This window comes from Homo sapiens, chromosome 5, assembly GCF_000001405.40.
Source record: "Homo sapiens chromosome 5, GRCh38.p14 Primary Assembly".
In the NCBI taxonomy this organism is placed as follows: domain Eukaryota; kingdom Metazoa; phylum Chordata; class Mammalia; order Primates; family Hominidae; genus Homo; species Homo sapiens.
In genome coordinates this window covers 1065866-1093697 of record NC_000005.10, presented here as the reverse complement: position 1 = coordinate 1093697, position 27832 = coordinate 1065866, and the positions used below count along the sequence as shown (strand labels likewise).

Below are 27832 nucleotides of genomic sequence, written 5' to 3'. Positions count from 1 at the left end.
GGCGAGGTGCGGGCCGCCTGTGACCATGTCCACGCCGCGCAGGAGGAGATGGACAGTAACCCCATGGTGTCCTCGCTGCTCAACAAGCTGGCCAACTACACCAACCTGAGCCAGGGCGTGGTGGAGCACGAGGAGGACGAGGAGAGCCGGCGGCGGGAGGCCAAGGTACTGCCACCCTGCCCGTGCCCGCCCAGTCCCCGCCCCGTGTGTCCCGGCAGGGTTAGATCACGCCGGCAAGGCAGTTGCTTGTCAGAAGAGCTGCCCTGAGCTCTGGTATCATGGCCACGTCCAGCCCTTTCTTCCTGGGAGGGCTCGATGGTGCCTGCCCTGCAGCTCCTGTCCAGGCCTCTTCCCTCTCCACCGTCCGGGGAAGCGTGACACCCCCATGCATCTGGGTGGCCGGGTTCCCTGTCGAGAAATGAACTTGGGGTGTTTTGTTCGTTCTGCGGGAGCGGCCCCATCCCCTGCTGTGGAGAGGAGTCTGAATGGTGCCGAGAGGCCGGGACGTGGCCCCTTCCAGAGGGTGCTGTGGCCTCGGTGCTCCCAGGGGCCGCCCTCCTTTTCATTTCCTGTCCAGGACACTTAGCCTGGTAGCATTTTCCCTGCAGTTTTATTCCCTGAGGATTTGTTTCCAGGAATCCGTCCTAGGAAACGAGGGGGGTGCAGTGGGGAAAGGTTTCCCTTGAGTGGTTTCTGTGGGTGACGAGGTGTGGAAACCCCTTGAGCATCCTCGGGAGGGTTCTGCCGTCCTGTACAGACGGGTTGCCTGAGAGCCACCCTGAGGCCTGAGGCCCTGAGGTGACGCTCACAGGCGAGAAAGACCCTGGACCCGTGTTGGGGGAGATCTTAGGTCCTCGCTGTGGGGGTGCGGCGGGTGGCTCAGTTTCTTCTCAACTCCCTCTGCTTTTTAAATCTTCTTTCAAATATGTCTGTGTTGCTCTAGAATAAGATACAAAAAACAAAAAAAAATAATCCACCGGAAGAAACCAAGCAGCGCAGGCCCTGCTCTGAAGCCGGGCGACGGCCTCCCCCAGTCTTGACACAAAATTGTCATTTCCCGAGTCAGCCCCGAGCCTGTGCCCCCCTCCTTCGGCAGACAGCTAAGGGCATACGTTGGCTTTTTAGGGTGATTTTTAAATTCCCCTATTATTTTCCTTAACTTTCTAACTCTAAAAATACCATCAGGAGATCCCTATCTTCTCAGAAGGGAGGGTTTTGTAGTGCCAGGTAGAGGCCAGTGAGCAGGAAGGAAGGAGGTGCTGAGCCAGGCGCCCCCAGGTCCAGGGAGGGTGGGCCCCCCTGCTGCGTGTGACCTCCACCAAGTGGGGCGTCCGTCGGCCGGCTCCTTGCCCTCCCCTGCATCCTCCCAGCCTGGGCTCTGCGCTTTGCGTCGACGCCACCCCTGAGTGCCTCCTGCCAGCGTCCAGTGTTCTGCTGACCTGGGTCCCACACAGCAGTCGGGAAGTCAGGCCGCTCAAGATGTCTCTTTCCTTCCTTTTACTGTAAACACAGCGGAATTAATACTGCATTTCCAAAATACTTGAAGACATTTGGTTTTGTTTTTGAGAAGCCTCAATCTGGGGTTGAAGTAACCGGAGACGAGGGACGTGACCGTGAGACCACCTTGGGGTGGGGCCTGGCCTGATGAGGGCCCTCAGCCCTGGCTGTTGTCCCAGGACAGGGTAGTGGCCTCTTCAGAAGCTGCATCTCTGGACCTCTTTCTGGTTCCCCTGCTGGGTCCTTCCCGGCTCGGGGAGCTTGTGGCCGCCCCCCCTGTCTGTAGCTCGGCCAGCCCTTGGGGTGGGACCATCACTGCTGCACGTGGACGCTGCGGAATTGGGTGTTGCCAGGCTCAGCACTCAGCACCTTTCTGCACGTGGATGGTGTGGAACTGGGCATTGCCGGGCTCAGCACTCAGCACCTTTCTGCACGTGGACGCTGCGGAACTGGGTATTGCCGTGCCGCACGTGGACGCCGCGGAATTGGGTGGTGGTGTGCCGGGCTCAGCACTCAGTACCTTTCCGCACGTGGACGCTGTGGAACTGGGTATTGCCGGGCTCAGCACTCAGCACCTTTCTGGGGTTTCACGCATGCTGGGCACTACCTTGAGGCCTCATGGGCTCAGGCTGGTACTCTGGCACCAAAACTCAGGAGCCACAGGCCTTCCCTGTCTGTCCGCCTGTGTGCTGGAGTTTGTGTCCTAGGGAGATGTTGGCTTTCTCCAGGGAGCAGGTGTCTTCCCACGGGCCTGGTCCGAGTGCTCCGGGAACAGGCTTTAGCTCCAGCTCGGCTGGGCTCAGGCACCACTGGCCTGGACATCCAGCTCCAACCCCTCTGCCTGATGGAGCCCAGCCTGCCATGAGGTGCCCATAGAGAGCACACCCCAGCTTCTCTCACCCTACTTGGTACTGAGACATGACTGAAACGTCCAGGCAGGTGTGTTTGTTCATGGCACACTGTGGGCCAGGGCCCAGGAGGTTCCCACCTGGAAGGCTCTCCCTGGCCCTCCCTGGCAACCCTACCCCCAGGCTGGTGGCTCTCAGGCCTCTGTCCCTCAGGGACAATATGCAGGTACCCCAGGCTGATGCTGCCTGCGTTTCAGTCGTGGAGGGACCAGGGCCCGTGACCCCAGCAGGCCTGTTGTTTGACGGTGGCGGGTTTCAGTTGGCAGTGACTCCTTCGGCTCCCTTAGGGGACCGTGGCTCGGCCCCTGGGGTGGAAGGGCAGGGGCCGCCCCTGGTCCTCTTTGCCAGGCTCAGAGGCTCATCCCCAGCAGACCTGCTCCCATTGAGGAGCCTTTTCAAGGGCCCAGGCATCTCCAGCCTCCCGCGCCTGAAATTGGGTCAGGTTGAGCCTTAAAAGTTGCCTTTAGGCGCGAACCAAGAGGCCAAGGCCGGCCATGCCCTTCCGTGAGGAGTCAGGATCCCCCGCCTTTGGCCGAGAACCAGCTTCTGACTCGCCTGTCACGGGGCTGCGGGATTTGAGGCTGAGCCTGGAGGGCAGGGGCCCCTGTGTGGACCGCGTCTCTGCCTGGAGCTCTGCCTGTCGGCTCCTGCGTTAGCTGAAGCCTCGCTGGGAAGTCACAGCAACAATTGTCCCTGGAGCCTTGCTGTCACCTCTGCCCTGGGCTCTCAGTTTTATCCAATGAGAATGTCCCAAAGCCGGTTCTCCACCATCCGCCACCGCTTCTCTCGTTTGCACCAAGAACAAAGCATACCCAGATTTGGAGGGCCCAGCAGCGGCCCCCAGCCCCGTCACCCTCTCCTCTCCAGGGCCCCCGTCAGAAGCAAGTCGCTCCCCTGTTGCTTCCCACCTAGGGCTCAGGGAACCAAGTGAATCCCCCAGGCTCTCAGATCCAGGGCTTCCCACGCTCCGAGCTGCTCTTACATTATTTTTCCCAGGGTCCTAAAGTTGGTGGAGCCCTAGAGCCCTGCCCTGGCCCCAGCCTTGGCCAGTCTGTGGGAGGCGTTCCGGCACGGTGACCCCAGAAGCCACCCTGTTTGCTTTTGTGATGTGGTGTTCAGCGTGCTCTCCCTGGGAGCTGCCCCTCACCTGGTCCCCTGTTCCCATCCTCCCCAGGCCTGGGCTGTGTGAACCCCAGGATCGAAGCCCCGCACGGGGCCTGTTCTGATCCACATTGTGGCCACTGTTCACAGGAAGTGTCTTCAAATAAAACCTTCCCCCTTTTCCGTATTGACCTTGAGACGTTTTCCTGTTAAAACGTCACCTTGTGCTGGCACCAGCCGTCCTCCAGGTCTGAGCCACGTGCCTCTGCTCATGGCGGGAGTGGGGCTGAGCAGGCAGTGGGGATGGAGCTGAAACTTCTACCCCAGCCTGGCCCGTCCCGAGTGGAGCTGGGGAGCTGCCTGGCAGGCGCTGGCCTGCTCCTGGCTGTGCTGCTGACCCTTGCCCATGTGGGTTTTCTCAGGGCACAGGGTGTGTCCCCCTCTCTGGCACAGGTGTCTGAAGCAGGCTGCCTGCTCCGTGCTGGGGCAGGCGGGGTGGCCCCCACGTGGATATCTGAACCTTTGCTGTTATCTCGTGGTGACCTCCGTGCCCGGTTAAGATGTGTCAGTTTCTGCCCAGGGCCGACGCTGAGCTGTGGATTTTTTTTTTTTTTTTTTTTAGCTTTATGGGCAGCAGCCGTCTCATCCCTCCGCTGGCTCTGCTTCCATTCCTGAAGTCTCAGGCTCTCCCAGGGTGTCAGATCTCAGGCCCTGAGCCATCCAGGGAACGGAGCCGGGGGCCCTCTCGTTCTCCCTCTTGTTTTTTCCATAACTTTTCCAGTGTAACAGGTTTCCCTCCGTCGGGGAGGCACAGCGGAGCAGCTGCATCTTGGTTCTCTGCCAACCATGTGGTTCTGCTCCCCTCCCCTAAGCCCTCATTCCGGGATGGTCAGGGGTCCTGTCCTGGGCCTCTCTCTGAACCTCCATCTGTTCTGGGAAGGACTCCTGCCCCCTCCTGCCCCCACGGCCGCTTTGCCTGCCCAGGGCCTGAGTGCAGCCTGGGGAGGGGGCTCCCTCTGGGTGTGGGGTACGAGCCCCTGGGACACGCTATGCTCTGTCGCAGGCTCCGCGCATGGGCACCTTCATCGGCGTCTACCTGCCGTGCCTGCAGAACATCCTGGGCGTCATCCTCTTCCTGCGCCTGACGTGGATCGTGGGGGTGGCTGGTGTCCTGGAGTCCTTCCTCATCGTGGCCATGTGCTGCACATGTGTGAGTCTCCCCCGGCCAGGTGTGGCTGTGCCTTCGGGCGGTGGCAGCTGGACAGTAGGGCTCTCCCCAGATGCCGTCTCCCCTGGCCGCTGTGGTTGTGCCTTCGGGCGGTGGCAGCCGGACAGTAGGGCCCTCCCCAGACGCCCGTGTAGACGTCGTTCAGCGCCGTCTCCTCCACGAGAGCCGGGCAGCTGCGGGGATGAGATGCCACACTGTCCGGGGTTAGTGCTGGCGTGTTGACTGGCGTGCTGGCACCTCATTTACCCGTGTCTGCGGACAGGCATCTCAGCCAGTGGTGGGTGTCATGGGGCGGCACCCGGGGGCTGAGGCTTCCAAGGGAAGGGACACCCTGTGTTTTGATGACATCACCTCCAGTTTGGAAGGACCTTGGGCACTTTCAGGGGTCGCTGTCATAGGGGAAGGGGTGGGAACCAGGACACGCATGCCTGGTGCCCGGGAGCCTCCAGGTCCTGTTTCCTAGCCACTCCATTGAGATGGAGAGCCCTGGAGTTGGGGGCTGGCATTCGGCGGGAGCCGGGTCATAGACCCTGACTTGGGAGTGTTGCGATGCCGGCAGGCTGTTGGAAAACTCTCCTCAGATGGCTGCCTGTCTTTTTGCAGACAATGCTGACCGCCATTTCCATGAGTGCGATCGCTACCAACGGTGTGGTCCCAGGTAAGGGGTGCCCGCCAGCCGCGGCCCTGAGTCCTGTTAGAGGAGTCTGTGTTTTGCCGCACGGCAACCGCGAGGAGGCCGCTTGGCGAGGCCGGGCCGGGGGCTGCCTGGGGGTCTCAGCCGGGCCTTCTGCGTGTTCTCCACTGGCTCCTCTGGCGTTTGAGCCGTGAGGTCACGGCTGTTTGGTTTTCTTCCCCATTTTGCTGCGTGGTGACCGTCTCTTGCCAGGGTAGGCAGTGCCCACCAGGCAGCGGGCTGGGGAGGGGGAGGCACGGGCGATTCCAGTGGCTCCTGTAGCCCAGCGTGTGCCATAGGCTGAGTTCTTGGAACCTGTATCTCACGAGGGAAGGTGAAGACAAAACACTGCCCTGACCTTGTTAATTAGTAATAAGTTAATTACAATACATAATAACTAAATAACTAGTGAACCGAGATGATATTAATTAGTAATAAGTTAATTACAATACGTAATAACTAGTAAACTGAGATGATACTGTTAATTAGTAATAAACGAATTACGATACGAAATAACTAGTGAACGGAGACGCTGCCACGTCTGCTTCTGAGTGCATGTGTGCTGCGCGTGTTAACGGCTGGGCTTGCTCAGCACCAGGTCCTCACGCAGCTGGTCCCCATCCCCACGGGGGCATCGCTTGGTGCTCAGCGGACTTCCCCGGCCTCAGGAGAGCACGAGGGCCTTCACCAGGGGTCTCCCTCCGCAGCCAAGGGACCAGTCTCTGCTTCACGATGGCCGCGTCCATTAGGACCCCTTCCACATGCCACACGCACTGCTCAGAGCAGGGAGAGCTGTGTTCTCCAGGCAGCCCTGGGGTTGCGCCCGGCTTTCCCGCCAGTGATAGCGTGCGTGGTTCACAGTACACGAGACGACTCCTGAACATCCTAGTTTCTCTTTTGCCTTTTTCATAAGCAAAACTTAGTGGAAGTGGGGGCTGGGGCTGCCACTGATGTACGCGGGACTTTTTCTGGGACCTGCTGGGGCCTCCTGCTCCCCAGAGAGCCTTATCCCTGATCTCACCTGGTCCTCATGTCCATGAGAGCGCGTGCTCTTGGTGTGGAACGTGTGCCGAGCCTCGGGAGGGGAGAGTTCACCGTGGAAGCGTCTCCATGTGCTGCTTTGCGGGTGGACGAGGGTCTACACGCTGCCTTCGCAGAGACAGGCCCTCCTTTGCCCGTGAATGGCAGCGCAGACCGCACCTCGGGTCCGAGTCCAAGTGCGCCCCTGACCCGCGGCTGCCGCCTTTGTCTCCGCAGCTGGCGGGTCCTACTACATGATATCGCGCTCGCTGGGACCCGAGTTTGGAGGCGCTGTCGGCCTCTGCTTCTACCTGGGCACGACGTTTGCAGGGGCCATGTATATTTTGGGGACCATCGAGATTTTTCTGGTAAGTGTGCTGCTTTGGAAGGGTTCCCACCCCACAGTCTGTGGCAGGATGCCAAGGGGCCCTGCCTGACCCACTCTGTGGCACACACAGCACACTGAGCCATCCTGACCCCACTGCCCTGGCTGCCCCTGGGCTCTCCTGGGCTCTGGCCATGGCGGAAGCCACTGGGCAGCGTCCACTCAGCAGCGACCTGTGTCCCCCTTGAGCACCATTGCTGCCCTCCGTGAGGCGTGCCTGGCATGAGCTGGGTAGACATCTGGACTGTAGATCTGAGCCCCGCGTAGGTGCAGTCCTGCAGTCGGAGCTGTTTTAGGAGCAGGGCTGGAACTCGGCTTAGAAGAACCTTTTGCCAGGATCCCAGCCTCTTCTCTGCCTGATCTGGGCACTTGGCCGAGGGTCCCAGAGCCCAGCAATGTACAACCAGGTGATGTCATCACCTTCTCAAAACAGGCATGCTCAAAGCATGTCCCACATCACCTGAGCACAGCTGAGAGCTGTGGCCTGAGTTCCTTGGTCCTCGTGGGGACGGGAACCGCCCTTCTCTGGCCGACGGGTGCTGTCCTTCCTGCTGAGGTTCTGAAACCCGCTGTCCCTGCAGGGCTTCAGAGACGCTCACCTGAGCCCCTGTCCCCAGTCTTTCTGCCCCTCCCTCTGCTGCCAGACCTGGTTCCTGGCCTCCTGGGTTCCTGAAGAGAGCCACATGGCCAAGAAGGTTCTGAAACCTTTCAGTGGGGTCGCACCCACACCCGTCCCAACCCGAGTCCCCTGGCCATGTCCCTCCATCTTTCCACCTGCCCCGGGTGCCGTGGCTGCCGCACTCCCAGGATCCCCTTTGGTGGGGGTGGGTGCCATGCCCTCCATGCCTGCTGCACCCCAGTCCTGTCCTGGTCTTGAGGGAGCTGAGCAGCACTGTCTCACGTCTCCGTCCCTTCCCTTGAATCTGGGCAGAACAGAGGTTGCCCCCCGCCGGCGTGGTCAGACCCTGTGTGTGTCCAGGACGTCCAGCCGGGGTGGGCCGAGCTCTCTGGGCAGCAGTCACATTCCTCTTAGCAGAAGGTGTTTCTTTTGAGTGCGGACATGCGGATGCCCCGGGTCCTGAAGTTGCTTTACTCTAAGGCTCCCGGGTGGTTCCTGGGAAACGTTCAGGCCCCTGGCTGTCCATGGCCTGTGCGCTGACCCCCGCGGGCTCCGTCCCTCGCCTGTGCGCTGACCCCCGCGGGCTCCGTCCCTCGCCTGTGCGCTGACCCCCGCGGGCTCCGTCCCTTGCCTGTGCGCTGACCCCCGCGGGCTCCGTCCAGCACGGATGCGTCCCGATGGCCCCGGCACCTGTTGGGAGGAGGCCCCTGTGTGGCGCTGGGGGCTTGCGGGAGGGACGGGCACTGGGGAGTTGTGTCCGGGGACGGCCTCCCGACCGGCCTTGTTCCCACAGACGTACATCTCCCCGGGTGCGGCCATCTTCCAGGCGGAGGCTGCAGGTGGCGAGGCGGCCGCCATGCTGCACAACATGCGTGTGTACGGCACGTGCACGCTCGTGCTCATGGCCCTGGTGGTCTTCGTGGGCGTCAAGTATGTCAACAAGCTGGCGCTGGTCTTCCTGGCCTGCGTCGTGCTGTCCATCCTGGCCATCTATGCCGGCGTCATCAAGTCTGCCTTCGACCCCCCGGACATCCCGTGAGTCTCGGGGCCTCTGAGCCGTGGGTGGGTGTGGGGCTGGGGCCAGGTCCCATGGGCTCTGCCCGCCTCTCGTCCATCATCCTTGACGCCGAGCTCCCCGCAAGGGGTGGGCTGGGTGTGACCGTGGCGGGAACCCCCGTGGGCTCGTTCTGGGGATTACAGGAAACCCAACGGTGAGGTGGGCCGAGGTACCCTCGTGGCCGGGTCTGAGCATGAAGACCCTCCTCAGTGGCAGGAGGGCTGGTGAGGGGTCTGGCAGGTTTCAGGGGTGGCCGGTGGCCCTGAGCACGGTCAGGTGCAGTGAGCGTCATGGGTGTGGCCCTGGCTGCTGCTGGGGCCTGGGTGTCTTCTCCCTCCCAGAGGTGCTTGGAGGGGCTCTTTTCTTGTCCTTTTGGAGGAGCAGCTGGGAGGCGGCCCAGGGTCCTGGAACATGGGAGTGGCCACCAGAGCCCGCAGGGAGCAGGTCCAGAAAGGGCCAGCAGCCAAGCCCCTTGAGGCTCCCGCGGTTTTGCCGTCTCTGCGTGGAGGGAGCCCCTGAAGGAACAGCCTCATAGAGGCCTCAAAACAGAGGGAGGCAGAACAGCTGCAACCCCACAAGCCCGTTTTAGGGAAGCACAGCTGCCCTCCCCCTCGGGGACCCGTCCTGAGACCCCCTGCCGATGCTTGACGCTACGGCCCTGTGTAGACTGTTTTCCACGTACAGGCCTGGCTTATACGTCGGGGGCGGCACTCCTGTGCTCTTGGCCGTTGGCACGTGGCACGAGGGTGGCTTGAACTCAGACACTGAGATTGTGACAGCTGACCCGGCCAGGACGCCGCCGAGGGCCTCGGGGAGGGAGCGGCTGCAGCGTGGCTGTGCTGGCGCGGGGGGAGGTTGCTGGGTTCCACCTCACTACTCGGCACCGCGCGGTGGAAAACGTGTGAATTGTTTACGTCTAGAACGCTTCATTTAGCACGTTTGGACCACGGGTGGCCGAACCATGGATGAGGGGACGGCTGTACAGTACAGCGTTCCTGCTGCAGCCTGGCCTGGTCCCCGGTCCCTGGTCCCCAGTCCCCGGTCCCCAGTGTGATCCCTGGCCCTTGCATTCCTGCTGCAGCCTGGCCTGGGCCCGGTCCCTGGCGTGATCTGTGGCCTTCCTGTCTTGGGAGGTGCAGGGTGCCAGGAGCCACTCGCGGGCGACACCATGGGTGCCCGTTGGGGGAGCTGGGTGGGGCAGTAAAAGCCACTTCGGTGGCAGCACACGTGCCGTGCCTCCCTGTCCCGCCCAGGGTCTGCCTCCTGGGGAACCGCACGCTGTCACGGCGCAGCTTCGATGCCTGCGTCAAGGCCTACGGCATCCACAACAACTCAGCCACCTCCGCGCTCTGGGGCCTCTTCTGCAACGGCTCCCAGCCCAGCGCCGCCTGTGACGAGTACTTCATCCAGAACAACGTCACCGAAATCCAGGGCATCCCGGGCGCGGCCAGTGGTGTCTTCCTGGGTGAGGCTCACAGGGCTGCAGCTGGAGCTGGGGGGTGGCGGGGGCAGCAGGCGCTGGCCCTGGTGGCTGCTCTCGCCTTAGAGTCACTCTCAGGGCCCCAATTCCTCCTGCCTGGCCGAGCCCCTTCCCAGCTGCTGCTGATGAGCCTGGGGGTCCCTGTACACACCCCTGGCAGAGCCATAGAAGCCAAACACGGTGTGGCAGGGAGACAGCCTCCGTCATGGTCAGCAAGCTGGTCTTAATGCTATGGATTTATTTTCATGACCTCCTGGCAGCATGTATGGGGAACTTGCTGTGTTAAGAAGGGAGTGGTAGCTGGGCGGTAACTTCCCCCTCTGTGTATCCTTCTCTGATGAGAGGCTGCCTCGGACCTGCCCCAGGGGGTTGAGGGAAAAGGACCCCTGGCAGGGTACACGAGACCTGCTCCAGAACCCGAGACGGGAAGCCCGGACTTTCCAGAACCCGAGACGGGAAGCCCAGGCTTTCCAGAACCCAAGACAGGAAGCCCAGGCTTTCCAGAGCCCTAGAGAGGAAGCCCAGGCTTTCCAGAACCCTAGAGAGGAAGCCCGGACTTTCCAGAACCCGAGACGGGAAGCCTGGACTTCCCAGAACCCGAGATGGGGAAGCCCGGACTTTCCAGAACCCTAGAGAGGAAGCCCAGGCTTTCCAGAACCCAAGACGGGAAGCCTGGACTTTCCAGAACCTGAGACGGGAAGCCCAGGCTTTCCAGAACCTGAGATGGGAAGCCCGGACTTTCCAGAACCCTAGAGAGGAAGCCCAGGCTTTCCAGAACCCGAGACGGGAAGCCCAGGCTTTCCAGAACCCGAGACGGGAAGCCCAGGCTTTCCAGAACCCGAGACGGGAAGCCTGGACTTTCCAGAACCCGAGACGGGAAGCCCAGGCTTTCCAGAACCCAAGACGGGAAGCCTGGACTTTCCAGAACCTGAGACGGGAAGCCCAGGCTTTCCAGAACCCAAGACGGGAAGCCTGGACTTTCCAGAACCTGAGATGGGAAGCCCAGGCTTTCCAGAACCCGAGATGGGAAGCCCGGACTTTCCAGAACCCTAGAGAGGAAGCCCAGGCTTTCCAGAACCCGAGACGGGGAAGCCCGGACTTTCCAGAACCCTAGAGAGGAAGCCCAGGCTTTCCAGAACCCTAGAGAGGAAGCCCGGACTTTCCAGAACCCGAGACAGGAAGCCCGGACTTTCCAGAACCTGAGACGGGAAGCCCGGACTTCCCCAGAACCCGAGACGGGGAAGCCCGGACTTTCCAGAACCCTAGAGAGGAAGCCCAGGCTTTCCAGAACCCAAGATGGGAAGCCCAGGCTTTCCAGAACCCGAGACGGGAAGCCTGGACTTTCCAGAACCCGAGACGGGAAGCCTGGACTTTCCAGAACCCGAGACGGGAAGCCCGGACTTTCCAGAACCCTAGAGAGGAAGCCCAGGCTTTCCAGAACCCGAGACGGGGAAGCCCGGACTTTCCAGAACCCTAGAGAGGAAGCCCAGGCTTTCCAGAACCCTAGAGAGGAAGCCCGGACTTTCCAGAACCCGAGACGGGAAGCCCGGACTTTCCAGAACCTGAGACGGGAAGCCCGGACTTCCCCAGAACCCGAGACGGGGAAGCCCGGACTTTCCAGAACCCTAGAGAGGAAGCCCAGGCTTTCCAGAACCCAAGATGGGAAGCCCAGGCTTTCCAGAACCCGAGACGGGAAGCCTGGACTTTCCAGAACCCGAGACGGGAAGCCCAGGCTTTCCAGGAGTATGTTGTTCCCCACATGAGGCTTCTCTTTAGTGCTGACCTTCCCTCCGTAGACGCAGACAGGCAGCTTTCCCAGAGGTACCATCTCGAAAGCGTGTTTGAATTGGAGCCTGCTTGCGGCGCACAAGCTGTGACCCTTCCCCTCCGGCCACCAGTGGCACCTGCCGGGGAGTGGGCGGCCCCATGGCGGGGGCACTGCACAGAAGGTGCCAGAAACCCATGGGATCTTCCTTGCCCGGCAGAGAACCTGTGGAGTACGTACGCGCACGCGGGGGCGTTTGTGGAGAAGAAAGGTGTGCCCTCGGTGCCCGTGGCAGAGGAGAGCCGTGCCAGCGCACTGCCCTACGTGCTCACCGACATCGCGGCCTCCTTCACCCTGCTGGTTGGCATCTACTTCCCTTCCGTGACCGGTGAGCCCGCTGCTCCAGGCTTCCCCTTCTCTTTCTTTCTCTCCCTCTCTTTTTTGAGGCAAGGTCTTGCTCTGTCACCCAGGCTGGAGGGCAGTGGTGTGATCACGGCTCACTGCAGCCTCAACTCCTAGACACAAATATTCCTCCCACCTGAGTCTCCCAAGCAGCTGGGACCCCAGGCACCCAGTACCACGCCCGGCTAATATCTGTATTTTTTGTAGAGGGGGGCAGCCGGGACCCCAGGCACACGGTACCACGCCCGGTTAATGTCTGTATTTTTTGTAGACGGGGGTCTCCCCACGTTGCTCAGGCTGGTCTCAAACTCCTGAGCTCAAGCCATCCTCAGCCTCCCAAAGTGCTGGGATTACAGACGTCTTGAGCCACCACGCCTGGCTTCCTTCTTTCTCTTCCTTTGTCTTTGTCCATTTCTCTGTCTCTGTCATTCTCTCCTCCGGCACTCTTTCTCTCTCCCCCTACCCTTTTCCCTCTCTCTCTGTCTGTCTCTCTCTCTCTCTCTGTCTCCCTCTTCTTCCCTCCCTCCCTCTCTCTCTCTCTGTCTGTCTGTCTGTCTCTCTCTCTGTCTCTCTCTCTGTAGTGTGTTCCTTCCTGCCCCTGCTTATCTTGCCTGTTTGGCTCAGGGGAAGTGGCTGAGGTCTCTGCCCTGCGTCCTGATGGATTTGTGAGAAGCCTGTCTGCTGCTCTCCCAGGCAGCCCTGTGTCAGGAGAAGCTGTTGTAGGGTTGCTGGGAACACCTGGCAGGCTGTTAGGAGACACCTAGGAGTGGCCTCAGTGTGAGCTCAGAGGCCGGGGACCTCGGCCCTCTGTGTCCTCCTCAAACAGTGGGCCTTGTTCCGGCGGTGGGTGGGGCCCTTGGTTGTTCCCCAGGGGGTGGGGCCAGGCCCCGTGCTCTTCGAGTCGCACACACACGCCCCCGGCTGTCTCCACTCGGCCTTCTTGTCGGGACGCCCCTGACAGGCGCTGGCTGCTTGTGCAGCCTGCAGCTGCCCTTCTGGTCCCTTCTGGTCCCTCCCACGTCTGCTCCCGGACTTCATCTCAGCACATCCGAAAGCCCTGGAGCCCAGGGTCAGCTGCAGGGCCTGGCCACAGCGCTGGCTTCTCGTGTTTCCCTTGCCTCCACTGAAGGTGGGCCCGTCTTGCTATGGAGGGGGTGATCTGCCGGGGGTCCTCTCCCTGTACCTCCGCTCCAGCCTCCCCCGTCCGTCTGAGTGCGCTCCGCGCCGTGGGTGGAGGGCGTGGGGGCAGAGCCTCTGCGTGGCTCCTGGTGTCTCCGCGCCGTGGGTGGAGGGCGTGGGGGCAGAGCCTCTGCGTGGCTCCTGGTGTCTCCGCGCCGCGGGTGGAGGGCGTGGGGGTAGAGCCTCTGCGTGGCTCCGGGTGTCTCTGAGCCGCGGGTGGAGGGCGTGGGGGCAGAGCCTCTGCGTGGCTCCGGGTGTCTCCGCGGCACTGGATTGTGGGCTCTGCTGCCTCCCAGGCCACCCCGAGCAATGGGTGCTTCAGGCTGCGCCTTGGATGGGACCGAGCCAGGCGTGAAGTGGCCCCCACCGACCCGGCTTCCCAGAGCTTTGTAGGAGCCGATTGTGTGGAAACATCCCCGGCCGTGGCTCCCTAGAGCAAGGTGGTGCCACAGCGGGAGGGGTCGCAGCGTCTGCTGGCCTGGCTGGCTGGGCTGAGTCGTTCTAGGATCTCATTCCCAAAGTCCTTAGGTCCTGGGGGCCTGTGAGCCATTGCTCAGCACCGTCTCTGGGCTGACCCTTGGCCATGGGATTAACACAGGCTCCAGAGAAGCCCTGGGTGTGGGGGGCGTGGGGGTCAGTGACGGGGTCGGTTCTCGTCCTCGGATCCAGGGGAGCAGTAGACGTGGGTGCTCATCCGCGTGCCTGGGCCCGCATCCCCTCAGCCGCAGTATTGCAGCGTGGGCTGGCGGAGCTTGGACTGCAGCCTCGGCTGCAGCTCACGCTCGGGGTCTCCCCAGAGACCGCCTTTCCAGCTTTCTGGGCAGGGGCTGCCATCACATGGCACTGACTCCTCAGATGGGTCTTTGCAGCATTTTCCATGTTCACAGGTATCATGGCGGGTTCAAACCGGTCCGGGGACCTCAAGGATGCACAGAAGTCCATCCCCACGGGGACCATCCTGGCCATAGTGACGACGTCTTTCATCTGTATCCTTGGAGGGGTGCAGGCGAGGGTTCCAGCCTCTGCCTGGGGGGAGGCCCCCATGCCCTCCCCGGCTCAGCATCATACCCTCGGCCACCAGCATGTGACTTCCCAGGTTAGGCTGTGCTCTCACCACGTCATCCTCCCTGGGAGACGGGGCAAGGGCTGCTGTCAGGACCCTGGCTTCTTCACCACTGTGTGATGCGATCGTAGAGAAAACAGAAGCAGTCACCCTGCCGCGTGTGGACAGTGATGCGCAGCGGTGTGTGGGGTGTGCCGCCGGCAGGCTGGGCCCGCGGGGCCTCTGGCTTCTCAATCCCAAGGCTGCCTCTTTCCAGCCGAGCATTGTCCCCTCAGCATGGTCCCCTGCCAATCCCTGGCGGTCAAGCACCAGGCCAGGTGTGTGTCCACCACCCCAGGGCCCCGTTCTGTGGCGCTGGACAGAGCCCCAGGAGGGTGCGCTGAGGACACGGGGGACAGGACGTGCCCGGGATGGGATGGGATGCAGAACGGTCCCCGCCCACCTGGATCCTGCGGCCCGCTGGCCAGTGCATCTCCCCACCCACCCCACCCCACCCCACCCCACCCCCCGTACCTGAGGACCCTGCACCCACGGACCTGCCTTTCCTTGACGAGGGCTGTGGATCTCTCCTGCATTGTGCTGTTTGGGGCCTGCATTGAAGGCGTGGTCTTACGAGATAAGTACGTTTCCACCTGCAGTTTTCGTGCAAAGCCTGTAGTCTTCAAGGGTTTTCCTGAGGATGAATTCGGCTTTGAAATTACATCGCCCTAGGACTTCATGTCCGCGTGCAGAGCTGAAGGCGTCCTGGTCCCAGGGTTGGGATCCCTTGGTCTGATGTGTCGTCTCTTCCGCTGGAGCCTAGGGCCTGGGGAACCGTTCAGAGCCAACTCCAAGCCCTGATGCGGCTGGGGGCGCAGGCCCTTCCTGGGGAGGCCACAGGGGTGTGGACGGGTGAGGCTTGGCCCTGGGAGATCCCTCAGCCCTGCTGGCAAGTGGAGAAGTAGTGGGGTCCCAGGCAGGTCATCACTGACCCTGCATCCTCATGGGGTGTGCGTGTCTGGCAGCCCCAAGGCCCCGGGGGTCCTGGGTGGTCCCTGACTGAAGCTGATGCCAGGCTGGGTCTTCCCTGCTCCCAAGAGCGACCCTGAGGTGAGCAGGACCCCCTCCCCCGCTGAAGACCCTCCAGAGCATTCTGGCCATGCTGGGCAGAGCCTGGTGGAGGTTTCAGCCAACGGGGACTGGAGGCCGGGCCTCAGCTTTCCAAGGAGTCGCCCCCACTGCACTGGGCCCCTCGCTCTGGGTGGGAGAAGACATTTTGTCTGACTCAGGCTCACTTCTGAAAGCCGCCCGCCCGCCTGCCCGCCTGCCTGCAGGTTCGGGGAGGCCCTGCAGGGGAACCTGGTCATCGGCATGCTGGCCTGGCCCTCCCCCTGGGTCATCGTCATCGGCTCCTTCTTCTCCACCTGCGGTGCCGGCCTGCAGAGCCTCACGGGGGCACCGCGCCTACTGCAGGCCATTGCCCGTGACGGCATCGTCCCCTTCCTGCAGGTGAGTCCCGCACCCTCGTCGGGGGGACCCTGGAAGGTCAGGGTCGGGGGCTCTCCTCCCCTGCGGGATCCTCACAGTGCCGTGTGTGGGACGCATGCCCGCGGCTTGGACCCCATGGTGGTCATTCTGCCCCTGGCCACTGCACAGAGCATGGGAGTGGTGGGAGGTGGGTGGTGGGCAGAGGCAATTCTAGCCCTCCTGCCTGCAGGTCCCTCCGAGCTCGGCCCCGGGTGTGTCAGGAGCGGCTGTGAGGGCCCACAGCCACGTGTCCAGAGGTGCCTGGTCTGTTGTCTGGTCAGAAGCCCTCTGCCTGCCTGCCACATCTTTCTCTGTGTGGCTGAGCTCTTCAGCCCGTGGGAGGTGGCGTCACCAGCCACCTGCAGCCAGTGTGTGTGGCTGCTCTGAGGATTGCACGGACGCCCGCATGGGTCCTGTCCGTGTGCTGTGCCCAGAGCTGCCGATTGTGGCTCCTCCTGCTACCTGGGCCCAGGGGCAGCTGTGGGAAGGTCGTGGATGGCAGAGCCATCCTTGCCCGTCGCTGGTCCCTCGGCAGGGTGCCGACCCGCAGGGCCTTTGTGTGGTTGCATCTTCAGTCCCAGCCGGGCCTAGGGCATGGTGTCCAGGAAGGGGACAGGCACACAGGCCCCGTGGGCCTCAGCTTCTGGGAGGTGAGGGTGGCCTGATGAGAAAGGTCACCACAGGGTCTGGGGAACCGCGAGTGCCCTGGAGACGCTGGTCCTGTGTTGTGTGGTCGGGGAAACTGAGGCGGGGGGGCAGGCTGGGGCCACACAGGTTGCAGGCAAGCCGGGCGTAGGCACAGCTCTGAAGCCTCCTGGGCTGCAGCCCTTTGTCAGGGCTTCTTCCCAGGCCAGCCGCGTGATGTCCCGGGGACCTACTGTGAAAGGCGTTTCTGCTGGTCTGTGTCTTTAAGATTCATCTGGGCTAGACCTGACCAGCCTGCAGCTTCTCTCCTAAAAGGGTGGTGTCATCTGCCCCATCTTCCTGCCCTTCTCCCTGCAGGTGTTTGGCCACGGGAAGGCCAACGGGGAGCCCACGTGGGCGCTGCTGCTGACAGTCCTCATCTGCGAGACTGGCATCCTCATCGCCTCTCTGGACAGCGTGGCCCCGATCCTCTCCATGTGAGCCCCCACAGGACGGGGACCTGGGGATGGGTGTATGGGCCTGGAGCGTGGGGCAGTGTGGATGGGAGGTCCTGCTCAGGACAAGCAGTAGACAGGCATGGCCAGCTGTGGGCAGTCAGGATCCTGCCGGGAAGGGAGTTGCGCCGGGGAAGACAAGTACACAGGCCTCCAGGCAGCCGCCCGCTGGGGTCAGCCAGGGACAGTGTGGCTGGACAGACGGCTGCTGGGGAAGGGACGATGGCCCATCTCTTGATGGACCAGGTGGTCACAGGATGGCTGGAACCTGAGGGGGCCTGATTCGGAATCAGTCTGAGTCAGCTCACGTGCAGAGACAGACATGGGGAGACAAGGCGCAGGTGGGAGGGACAGTGACAAGGGTGGTCTCCCAGGTGGCAGTGACTGGGGGCTCAGGGGGGCCCAGTGGGCCCGTATCAGTGGCCGGCCGTCCCTGCAGGTTCTTCCTCATGTGCTACCTGTTCGTGAACCTGGCCTGCGCCGTGCAGACCCTGCTACGTACCCCCAACTGGCGTCCACGCTTCAAGTTCTACCACTGGTGAGGCCACTCAGCACGGGCGTGAGGAGCCCCACAGGCTGGGACACTGGGTGCCTCTGCCACTGGTGAGGCCGCTCAGCACAGGCGTCAGGAGCCCCACAGGCTGGGACACTGGGTGCCTCTACAAGGCCAGCTGCTCTGGGCCTGAAGACCCCAGCGCGTCCTTGACTGTTCCTTTGCGGAGTAAGCCCCTGCGCAGCTGATGAGACTGCACCTGAGGAAGGCCTCTGGTTACGAGGATGCCCAGGTGTCTGCATGTGCCTTGTACCTCCCGTGGTCAGCCCAGCCTTCCCAGGCTTGGGGCGTAGCCCATCAGGGCTGTGGGTCTTCTTAACTCCCCTCCCCAGGAATCAGGCGCTGGGTGGACGCTTCAGCCCCTTGTTGCATGCACAGCCGAGGTGCTGTGTGCACGCTGGGAGCTGGAGCTATGTACTGGGTTTTGGAGTGACAGCTCCCACAGGGGCCCAGGGAGCCACGTCACCCCTCAGAGGTGGTTGAGTACAGCCATGGTCGTCAGGCGTCAGTGACTGTTTTCCTAGTGTTAACAGAGAGTTTTACTGAGGGAGGGGCAGTGTCCGTGTGGTGGTGGCTGAGGTGTGGGGGCTGCATGGCGTTGGGCCGCCCCGAGCCACTTGCCCCGCCCCCAGGACCCTGTCCTTTCTGGGTATGAGCCTGTGCCTGGCGCTGATGTTCATCTGCTCCTGGTACTACGCGCTGTCCGCCATGCTCATCGCTGGCTGCATCTACAAGTACATCGAGTACCGCGGGTAAGCGCTGTCAGCCCCCCTTACAGACCCGGCGCACGGGAGGGCGGGCCCCTCTCATGCTATGCCTGGGGCAGCTCCCTGGAGGGGCCTCCCTGGGGCTTGAGCGTCGTGTGCCCTCACAGGGGCAGCTGGGAGCACGTCCAGGTGGGCTGTGTTGTGAAAGCTGGGGTTTCCCTCCCACTTCCAGCCAGGCCGAGGTGCCTGCACTTGTGGACAGGGTCTCCAGCCTGGAGCTCTGTCTCGTGCCGTCCTCAGCAGGCGGTGAGCCCACGGCTGACTATTCCTGCTACGTGTCTCGCGAGGTGTCCCCAGGTTGTGTCTGTACTCACTCGGCAGCCACAGGCGTCCTTCCCCGTGCCCCAGCACCCACCCTCCCTCCACCTGCACCCGCCTCGTGCCCGGGGTCCAGCCACTTCCCTGTCATGGGCCTCCTGTCCCCCGTCCTGTGAGGAAGGCACCTCACGCATGCTGGACGTAGACCTCGTTCCCTCCACAGCCACAGCACCCTCTGACCCGGTGGCTCCTAGGACGGGCTCCCTTCAGGGCAAGGGTGGGCATGGAGGCCTCCCTCCTCATCCAGGGACTTTTCCTGGGGGTCCTGTTTGCCCCAACTCACCTGCCCCCAGAAGTCCCCTTTCCCAGGTGGGAGAGGAGCCTCCAGGTACGCGGCTGGACAAACCCCGACTTCCTTTCCCACAGGGCCGAGAAGGAGTGGGGCGATGGCATCCGTGGCCTATCCCTGAACGCCGCCCGCTACGCCCTGCTGCGCGTGGAGCACGGTCCCCCCCACACCAAGAACTGGAGGTGAGCACCGCCCATGCCCCGTGGTCCTCAGACGCACAGAAGAGCTGTTTCTGAGGTCGGCCTTTGAGTGGGGACCTTTGAGTCTCAGGGGCCTCTCACCTTCAGCCGCTCAGGCAAGGTCTGGGGTGTGAACACTGCCTGGTGCAGAGCGGATGGCGCAGCTGGGGGCCGGGGGTGTCCCTGCTGCAGGGTGGGGGTGTGGGGAGCCGGCCCCTCTGCCAGCACAGCCCTGGGCTTGGGGTGGGAGAGGGTGGCTCCTGCTGAAGCAAAGGCCATCTTTGGGAAGCCTCTGCCCCTCAGGGCCTCGGCGGGGGCCTCAGGTGTGTGCCCCGGGCCATTGTCCCCTCAGGGGCCTCGGCGGGGGCCTCGGGTGTGCCCCGGGCCATTGTCCCCTCAGGGCCTCGGTGGGGGCTTCAGGTGTGTGTCCTGGGCCATTGTCTCACCTGTCTAGCATGTCACCTGTCCCACCTGTCTAACCTACCTGTTCTCCTGTCCTGCCTGGCTAGTGCCCACCTGTCCATCGGCCCTGCCTGTCCCACCTGGCTTCTGTGGCCTGTCTCACCTGTCACCTGTTCAACTTACCCCACGTGTGTCACGTTTCCCCATCCCATCTGTCACCTGCCCCTTTTGTCCCCTGTCCCGCCTGTCATGTATCTCCCGTCCCACCTGTGTCGTGTGCCCCGCCCGTCCCATCTGCCCTGCCTGTTGATGGGCCGTGCCCTGGTAAGCGTTGCCGTGGTAACAGCCGCCCCACCCTGGCTGCAGGCCCCAGGTGCTGGTGATGCTGAACCTGGACGCGGAGCAGGCCGTGAAGCACCCCCGCCTGCTGTCCTTCACGTCGCAGCTGAAGGCCGGCAAGGGCCTGACCATCGTGGGCTCGGTGCTGGAGGGGACGTACCTGGACAAGCACATGGAGGCTCAGCGGGCCGAGGAGGTGGGCCGGGCGGGGTCTGGGGGCCAGGCCTCTTTCCCACCCCAGCTGCACAGGAAACGTGCCCTGGCATGTCCTCATCGCAGCGTGTCAACACGGTGCTGTGCGTGGCGCTGCTGTGTTTTAGCCGTGGCGGTGGCTTTGAGCTCAGAGCAGCGCGCTAAGGCCTGGGAGCACCAGCCGCACCCCGGGAAGCTTGGGAGGTGTGAGGGCCATTAGCTTTCCAAGGGCGAACCCTGGGACCGCCTCCTCCCGCCATGGGTGAGCCCCGTCCAGAGCCGTAATCATGGTTCTGCTGCAAGCTCAGTCTCCCGCTGTTCAGGCTCACTGGGGGCTGCATAAGTGTGATGCCCGTGTGCTGGGGGCTCACTGGGGGCTGCATAAGTGTGATGCCCGTGTGCTGGGGGCTCACTGGGGGCTGCATAAGTGTGATGCCCGTGTGCTGGGGGCTCACTGGGGGCTCACTGGGGGCTGCATAAGTGTGATGCCCGTGTGCTGGGGGCTCACTGGGGGCTGCATAAGTGTGATGCCCGTGTGCTGGGGGCTCACTGGGGGCTCACTGGGGGCTGCATAAGTGTGATGCCCGTGTGCTGGGGGCTCACTGGGGGCTGCATAAGTGTGATGCCCGTGTGCTGGGGGCTCACTGGGGGCTGCATAAGTGTGATGCCCGTGTGCTGGGGGCTCACTGGGGGCTCACTGGGGGCTGCATAAGTGTGATGCCCGTGTGCTGGGGGCTCACTGGGGGCTGCATAAGTGTGATGCCCGTGTGCTGGGGGCTCACTGGGGGCTCACTGGGGGCTGCATAAGTGTGATACCGTGTGCTGGGGGCTCACTGGGGGCTGCATAAGTGTGATGCCCGTGTGCTGGGGGCTCACTGGGGGCTCACTGGGGGCTGCATAAGTGTGATACCGTGTGCTGGGGGCTCACTGGGGGCTGCATAAGTGTGATGCCAGTGTGCTGGGGGCTCACTGGGGGCTCACTGGGGGCTGCATAAGTGTGATGCCCGTGTGCTGGGGGCTCACTGGGGGCTCACTGGGGGCTGCATAAGTGTGATGCCGTGTGCTGGGGGCTCACTGGGGCTGCATAAGTGTGATGCCCGTGTGCTGGGGGCTCACTGGGGGCTCACTGGGGGCTGCATAAGTGTGATGCCCGTGTGCTGGGGGCTCACTGGGGGCTCACTGGGGGCTGCATAAGTGTGATGCCCGTGTGCTGGGGGCTCACTGGGGGCTGCATAAGTGTGATGCCGTGTGCTGGGGGCTCACTGGGGGCTGCATAAGTGTGATGCCAGTGTGCTGGGGGCTCACTGGGGGCTCACTGGGGGCTGCATAAGTGTGATGCCCGTGTGCTGGGGGCTCACTGGGGCTGCATAAGTGTGATGCCCGTGTGCTGGGGGCTCACTGGGGGCTCACTGGGGGCTGCATAAGTGTGATGCCCGTGTGCTGGGGGCTCACTGGGGGCTGCATAAGTGTGATGCCGTGTGCTGGGGGCTCACTGGGGGCTCACTGGGGGCTGCATAAGTGTGATGCCCGTGTGCTGGGGGCTCACTGGGGGCTGCATAAGTGTGATGCCCGTGTGCTGGGGGCTCACTGGGGGCTCACTGGGGGCTGCATAAGTGTGATACCGTGTGCTGGGGGCTCACTGGGGCTGCATAAGTGTGATGCCCGTGTGCTGGGGGCTCACTGGGGGCTGCATAAGTGTGATGCCCGTGTGCTGGGGGCTCACTGGGGGCTGCATAAGTGTGATGCCCGTGTGCTGGGGGCTCACTGGGGGCTGCATAAGTGTGATGCCCGTGTGCTGGGGGCTCACTGGGGGCTGCATAAGTGTGATGCCGTGTGCTGGGGGCTCACTGGGGCTGCATAAGTGTGATGCCGTGTGCTGGGGGCTCACTGGGGGCTGCATAAGTGTGATGCCCGTGTGCTGGGGGCTCACTGGGGCTGCATAAGTGTGATGCCCGTGTGCTGGGGGCTCACTGGGGGCTGCATAAGTGTGATGCCCGTGTGCTGGGGGCTCACTGGGGGCTGCATAAGTGTGATGCCCGTGTGCTGGGGGCTCACTGGGGGCTGCATAAGTGTGATGCCGTGTGCTGGGGGCTCACTGGGGCTGCATAAGTGTGATGCCGTGTGCTGGGGGCTCACTGGGGGCTGCATAAGTGTGATGCCCGTGTGCTGGGGGCTCACTGGGGCTGCATAAGTGTGATGCCCGTGTGCTGGGGGCTCACTGGGGGCTGCATAAGTGTGATGCCGTGTGCTGGGGGCTCACTGGGGGCTGCATAAGTGTGATGCCGTGTGCTGGGGGCTCACTGGGGGCTGCATAAGTGTGATACCGTGTGCTGGGGGCTCACTGGGGGCTCACTGGGGGCTGCATAAGTGTGATACCGTGTGCTGGGGGCTCACTGGGGGCTGCATAAGTGTGATGCCGTGTGCTGGGGGCTCACTGGGGCTGCATAAGTGTGATGCCCGTGTGCTGGGGGCTCACTGGGGGCTGCATAAGTGTGATGCCGTGTGCTGGGGGCTCACTGGGGCTGCATAAGTGTGATGCCGTGTGCTGGGGGCTCACTGGGGCTGCATAAGTGTGATGCCCGTGTGCTGGGGGCTCACTGGGGCTGCATAAGTGTGATGCCCGTGTGCTGGGGGCTCACTGGGGGCTGCATAAGTGTGATACCCGTGTGCTGGGGGCTCACTGGGGGCTGCATAAGTGTGATACCCGTGTGCTGGGGGCTCACTGGGGGCTGCATAAGTGTGATGCCCGTGTGCTGGGGGCTCACTGGGGGCTGCATAAGTGTGATACCGTGTGCTGGGGGCTCACTGGGGGCTGCATAAGTGTGATGCCGTGTGCTGGGGGCTCACTGGGGGCTCACTGGGGGCTGCATAAGTGTGATGCCCGTGTGCTGGGGGCTCACTGGGGGCTGCATAAGTGTGATGCCGTGTGCTGGGGGCTCACTGGGGCTGCATAAGTGTGATGCCGTGTGCTGGGGGCTCACTGGGGCTGCATAAGTGTGATGCCCGTGTGCTGGGGGCTCACTGGGGGCTGCATAAGTGTGATGCCCGTGTGCTGGGGGCTCACTGGGGGCTGCATAAGTGTGATGCCGTGTGCTGGGGGCTCACTGGGGGCTCACTGGGGGCTGCATAAGTGTGATGCCCGTGTGCTGGGGGCTCACTGGGGCTGCATAAGTGTGATGCCCGTGTGCTGGGGGCTCACTGGGGCTGCATAAGTGTGATGCCCGTGTGCTGGGGGCTCACTGGGGCTGCATAAGTGTGATGCCGTGTGCTGGGGGCTCACTGGGGGCTGCATAAGTGTGATGCCCGTGTGCTGGGGGCTCACTGGGGCTGCATAAGTGTGATGCCGTGTGCTGGGGGCTCACTGGGGGCTGCATAAGTGTGATGCCCGTGTGCTGGGGGCTCACTGGGGGCTGCATAAGTGTGATGCCCGTGTGCTGGGGGCTCACTGGGGGCTCACTGGGGGCTGCATAAGTGTGATGCCCGTGTGCTGGGGGCTCACTGGGGGCTGCATAAGTGTGATGCCCGTGTGCTGGGGGCTCACTGGGGGCTGCATAAGTGTGATGCCCGTGTGCTGGGGGCTCACTGGGGGCTCACTGGGGGCTGCATAAGTGTGATGCCCGTGTGCTGGGGGCTCACTGGGGGCTGCGTTAAGTGTGATGCCGTGTGCTGCTGAATTTCTGCCCACTCAGAGCTTTGTGGGGAGGGACGGGTGAGTGCCCCGGGCGTGTAGCATGCTGGTGCCAGCTCTGAGCCCTGCTGCTGCAGTCGGCTGCCCCAGGACATCGGGGTCTGAGACTTTGTGTCTTCATTTCTCTGATTTTCAAACTTCTTATGGGAAGCTTCACACTATCCAGAAACGGAATGATGACACGATGAAAGCCTGTGGGGTCCCATCACGTCACGTCACGTCACGTCACCTGGAGTTACTTCTGTATTTCTTGCTAAAGCAGGGAGCTTTTGAGTGCCCACCTGCGTGATTTTCATGCCAAGGGCACCTCATTCCCAGGCAGGGCTGGCTGCCGTGGGCGCCTCGAGCCTCCTCCTTCCCCCTCATGTGTGTGGGAGTCTGTGGGGCCTATACCACGTGCCTGTTGCAGTGGTGTGTGTCCGAGGTCCCTCCCATGCGGGTGCCCCCTCTGTCCTTGCTGTGGGTTGGGAGCCAGCTCCCTGCTGCCAGGCCCCCACTGGGACCTTGTGGGTGTGTCCAGGCATCTGCAGCCGCCCCCCACCGCCTCCCCGGTCCGTTTCTCTGCACAACCACAGCCGCACTGAGGCCCGTCCAGGTCTGGGCCGGTCAGCCTAGGGGTGGGAACCCTGCTCAAGAGGGCTGTGGGCACGTGGATGGTAGCAGCCTCAGGTGGTGTGGCCTAGGGCCAGGATCCCATGGAGGTAAAAAATGGCCCCCGCCGCTCCCGCCACGTTGGCCACGTGGATGGCCACCTTCTCAGGCTGTTGCACAGGTTCGCCTTCCCAGGGAAGACAGGAGATGCTCTGGGCCTTCCCTTTCCCTGACGGCGGCGTCATGGCTCACCACGGGTTCAGGCGTTAGCTGCTATTGACTGTGAACCCGTGGATTTAGGTATCGTGGTTTTCGGGGGGATGTTCACGGTCCTGGTCCCCATATGTCCCTTTCCGTGTTCCTTATCCCATGCTGGAATGCTCTTAGGAGGAATCCCGGAGTTGGAACTGCCCTGCTGGCGTGGATTCTAAGAATCCTGGCACTGCCTGGCCTCCCTGGAGGTGTGTGAGGGCGCGTCTGTGCGCACGAGGGACAGGGCAGGGATTGCAGTGACTGGGGGATGACGGGACCCCCTGCCACGCTCTGCCACAGTCTTCACGGCCATGGGAAGAGCTGCGCTCACTTATACTCTCACGTTAACGGAGCTCACAGGCAGATCCTCTCCGTCCGACAGCCCTTCGGCTGGGGGGTCTGGGGCAGCCTCAGACAGGAGCCCGCTCTTGCGGACGGGAGGACGAGCGCACCCTGCCCCCGCTGCTCTCAGCGAGCCTTTGGCTGTGACTTAGCTGCATTGGTTGCGAGGGCTGGAGCCAGCCGCAGGCCCCGCCTTCCCTTGGCTGCCTTTGGGGCTGCACTGCCCTGGGGAGCCGTATTCTCCTCCATCGTGGCTATGTTAGTGTGAAATTAGAGAAATCTGGGCAAATCTTTTTTATTTATTTGTTTTTTAATTTTTATTTATTTTTTGAGACAGAGTCTCCCTCTGTTGCCCAGGCTGCAGTGCAGTGGCGCCGTCTCAGCTCACTGCAACCTCCACCTCCCGAGTTGAAGCAGTTCTCCTGCCTCAGCCTCCCAGTAGCTGGGATTACAGGTGCCCACCACCACGCCCGGCTCATTTTTGTATTTTTAGTAGAGACGGGGTTTCGCCACATTGGCCAGTCTGGTCTCGAACTCCTGAGCTCAAGTGATTCGTCTGCTTCGGCCTCCCAAAGTGCTGGGATTACAGGTGTGAGCCACGGCAGCCTGTCTGGGCAAGGCTGTAAAGCATGGACATTTCTCTAAGAAGCGTGCAGCTTCGTGACTCATGCAGTCGCCAGGGAGGCTCATGCGCGCCCTTGTGCTCTGTTCTGTGTGGCACTGATTGGCATAAAAGGGGTCCTAAGGCCCTGGTGTTCTTGCTCCCCGCTCGTAAAGTTGTCCTCCGGGTTGAGGTCTGTCTGCACGGAGGCCTCTGCGACTGCTGCGCCGGGCAGGTGCGGGGACTTGTGATAACAGGGTCCCCGACACGGTGCTGACTTGTGATAACAGGGTCCCCGACACGGTGCTGACTTGTGATAACAGGGTCCCCGACACGGTGCTGACTTGTGATAACAGGGTCTCCCCACACAGTGTTGAGTTCCTGCCAGGCCAGGGCAGTGCCGCGTCCTCCTGAAACCCTGCAGTCCTGCAAGGTGGTTTTCCCAACAGTGAGGCCAGAAGAGAGTTGAGATCCCCAGCTCCGACTCCTCGGAGCCAGCACGTGGGGGTGAGCACAGCAGCCAGTCATGTAGGAAGTGGCCCCGTGACGTGGCTCCAGCACTTGGAGGCCCTCAGGGCCCCTCCAGTGGCTGCATCCAAACTTGGCTGATCCTGAACAGCCGTTTCCCTGGGCTCCGTTCTCCGGCCAGATCGGGGCACAAGAACAGAGAACCTGAATTGCCCTGCAGAGGGGTCTCGTGGGGATGAGAAGCAGCCGCATAAAGGGGCTGCTGTGTGGCCTTTGCTGAAATAGCCACACTTCCTGCCTTCTTCCCACATGACGCCCGATGCGGGTGCTTCCCTGTGCCTTCCTGCCCAGAGACGGCTGTGTCCACCCCGCAGCGTCCGCCTCCAGCCGGTCTCTGCCTCTCTGGGGCCCCTGCCTCCGCTTGCTGGCTGGTGCCCCTTGGGGGTAACGTGTTCAGGCCTTTCCTGACCTAAACAAAAGTCTCAAAGAGGAGCATATCTGCTGGCCCTGCACCCTGTCCCGTCTTGCGCCCGGGCAGCTGGGCAGAAGGTGGAGGTGTCTGGAGAGCAGGGTAAGGACGAGGGGTGCCTGAGGAGGAGTGGGGCCGTGGGAGAACATTGGATGTTGTTTTGTGTGTGAAGGGCTGGTGGAGCTCTAGGTGTGAGCCAGGGTAGGGGGTGAGGATACCAGTCAGGCTGACGTAGGGGCTGCTGGAATCTCGGCAAAGGAGGCAGGTGGTGGCTCTGATCCCTGAGTGGCCCGGGGCTGCTGTGATGGGACACAGACCACACGGCTCACAGCAAAGGGCGTCTGTTCTCTCCTAGTTCTGGAGCCCAGGAGTCTGAGATGAAGGAGACCGCAGGCCACGCTGCCTCCAGAGTCTCCCGGGAGGATCCTCCTGCCTCCTCCAGCTCCTGGGCCCCCGGGCGACCCTGGGCGCCTGTGCCTCCACGCAGTCTCTTCCTCCCAGTCTGAGAGCTCTTCCTGCCTTCATCCTGTAAGGTCACTTGTCAGTGGCTTCAGGGCCCACCTCTGACCCAGGATGCTCTCTCAACATCATAACCTAATTACAGGGTTCTTCAATACATCCATAAAGACAGGTTTTCCAAATAAGGTTGCATTCTCAGGTTCCTGGGGCTGGGATGCGGGTATCCTCTTTTTTGGGGGCACTATTCAACCCACTGCAATTGAGCTCTCGGCCCTAAAATTCATATCTGCCACACATGTACAGTATGTTCACCCCATCTCAGTGTCTCCTGAAGTCTCAGGCCTGCACAGACCAGCTCTGAGTCCCAACTCTCATGTAAATCTCATTGCTCGGAGCTCCCAAATCTCATCCTCTAAGCATCCAAACCAGAAGCCAGTGAAATGTGGGGTCTGGTCCATCCTGGACAAAACTGCTGTGTCTGTAGATGTGCAAGTGAGGAGGTGGTTATCCCAGAACGCAGCAGGGGACAAGCCAGGAGAGGCATGTTTGCTCCAAAAGGGAGAATCAGGTGGGAAGGGGCCACTGGTACCACACAAGGCTGAGACCCAGCAGGGCAGGCCCTGGGGTTCCAGGGCCTGAAGGTCAGAGGGTGGGAGGCCTGCGTCCACACATGCATGGCTTTAGTGCGTGGCAGGTCCTCGGCCACGCACGTGCAAACCCCATGGAGTCAAGCCGTTCCGTGGTGCAGCCTCATCAGACACCCCTGGGAAGAGACTGCACACAGCAGTGACCCCCTCCAACCCCGGGAGGAGACCACACGGCAGTCCCCCACCCCCGCCCCCCGCCGTTGCTGTTAGGGTGCTGCATCCTGGACCCCACGGCCTCCCTTTGAAGAGCTGCT

General features: G+C 62.4%; 1 protein-coding gene across 10 annotated transcripts in view, besides 4 other annotated features; it reads left to right on the top strand.

The window, feature by feature from the left end:
* The window catches only part of SLC12A7 (solute carrier family 12 member 7), a 105516-nt gene that overhangs the window by 62202 nt on the left and 15482 nt on the right, over window positions 1-27832 (top strand). For all 10 annotated transcript variants that reach the window (XR_007058571.1, XR_007058570.1, XR_007058569.1 and 7 more), the window contains exons 3-17: window positions 43-165; window positions 4570-4716; window positions 5338-5392; window positions 6665-6795; window positions 8225-8466; window positions 9742-9953; window positions 11954-12121; window positions 14202-14300; window positions 14940-14997; window positions 15691-15865; window positions 16886-17004; window positions 17462-17560; window positions 18208-18327; window positions 19027-19131; window positions 19897-20065. Coding sequence is in view for 7 of the 10 variants with exons in the window: in XM_011513941.3 (XP_011512243.2) it covers window positions 43-165; window positions 4570-4716; window positions 5338-5392; window positions 6665-6795; window positions 8225-8466; window positions 9742-9953; window positions 11954-12121; window positions 14202-14300; window positions 14940-14997; window positions 15691-15865; window positions 16886-17004; window positions 17462-17560; window positions 18208-18327; window positions 19027-19131; window positions 19897-20065 (2022 nt within the window). In the remaining 3 variants the exon portion in view is untranslated. The remainder of the gene's footprint in view (window positions 1-42; window positions 166-4569; window positions 4717-5337; window positions 5393-6664; window positions 6796-8224; window positions 8467-9741; window positions 9954-11953; window positions 12122-14201; window positions 14301-14939; window positions 14998-15690; window positions 15866-16885; window positions 17005-17461; window positions 17561-18207; window positions 18328-19026; window positions 19132-19896; window positions 20066-27832) is intronic.
* Window positions 19622-20176: an enhancer, noted in NCBI's record as "H3K27ac-H3K4me1 hESC enhancer chr5:1073637-1074191 (GRCh37/hg19 assembly coordinates)". NCBI's record gives its function as "activates a minimal SCP1, AML or CMV promoter by ChIP-STARR-seq in naive and primed H9 embryonic stem cells {active_cell/tissue: H9 hESC(naive and primed)}" and the evidence as "EXISTENCE:reporter gene assay evidence [ECO:0000049][PMID:30033119]".
* Window positions 20177-20731: an enhancer, noted in NCBI's record as "H3K27ac-H3K4me1 hESC enhancer chr5:1073082-1073636 (GRCh37/hg19 assembly coordinates)". NCBI's record gives its function as "activates a minimal SCP1, AML or CMV promoter by ChIP-STARR-seq in primed H9 embryonic stem cells {active_cell/tissue: H9 hESC(primed)}" and the evidence as "EXISTENCE:reporter gene assay evidence [ECO:0000049][PMID:30033119]".
* Window positions 24487-24986: an enhancer, noted in NCBI's record as "H3K4me1 hESC enhancer chr5:1068827-1069326 (GRCh37/hg19 assembly coordinates)". NCBI's record gives its function as "activates a minimal SCP1, AML or CMV promoter by ChIP-STARR-seq in naive H9 embryonic stem cells {active_cell/tissue: H9 hESC(naive)}" and the evidence as "EXISTENCE:reporter gene assay evidence [ECO:0000049][PMID:30033119]".
* Window positions 25709-26208: an enhancer, noted in NCBI's record as "H3K4me1 hESC enhancer chr5:1067605-1068104 (GRCh37/hg19 assembly coordinates)". NCBI's record gives its function as "activates a minimal SCP1, AML or CMV promoter by ChIP-STARR-seq in primed H9 embryonic stem cells {active_cell/tissue: H9 hESC(primed)}" and the evidence as "EXISTENCE:reporter gene assay evidence [ECO:0000049][PMID:30033119]".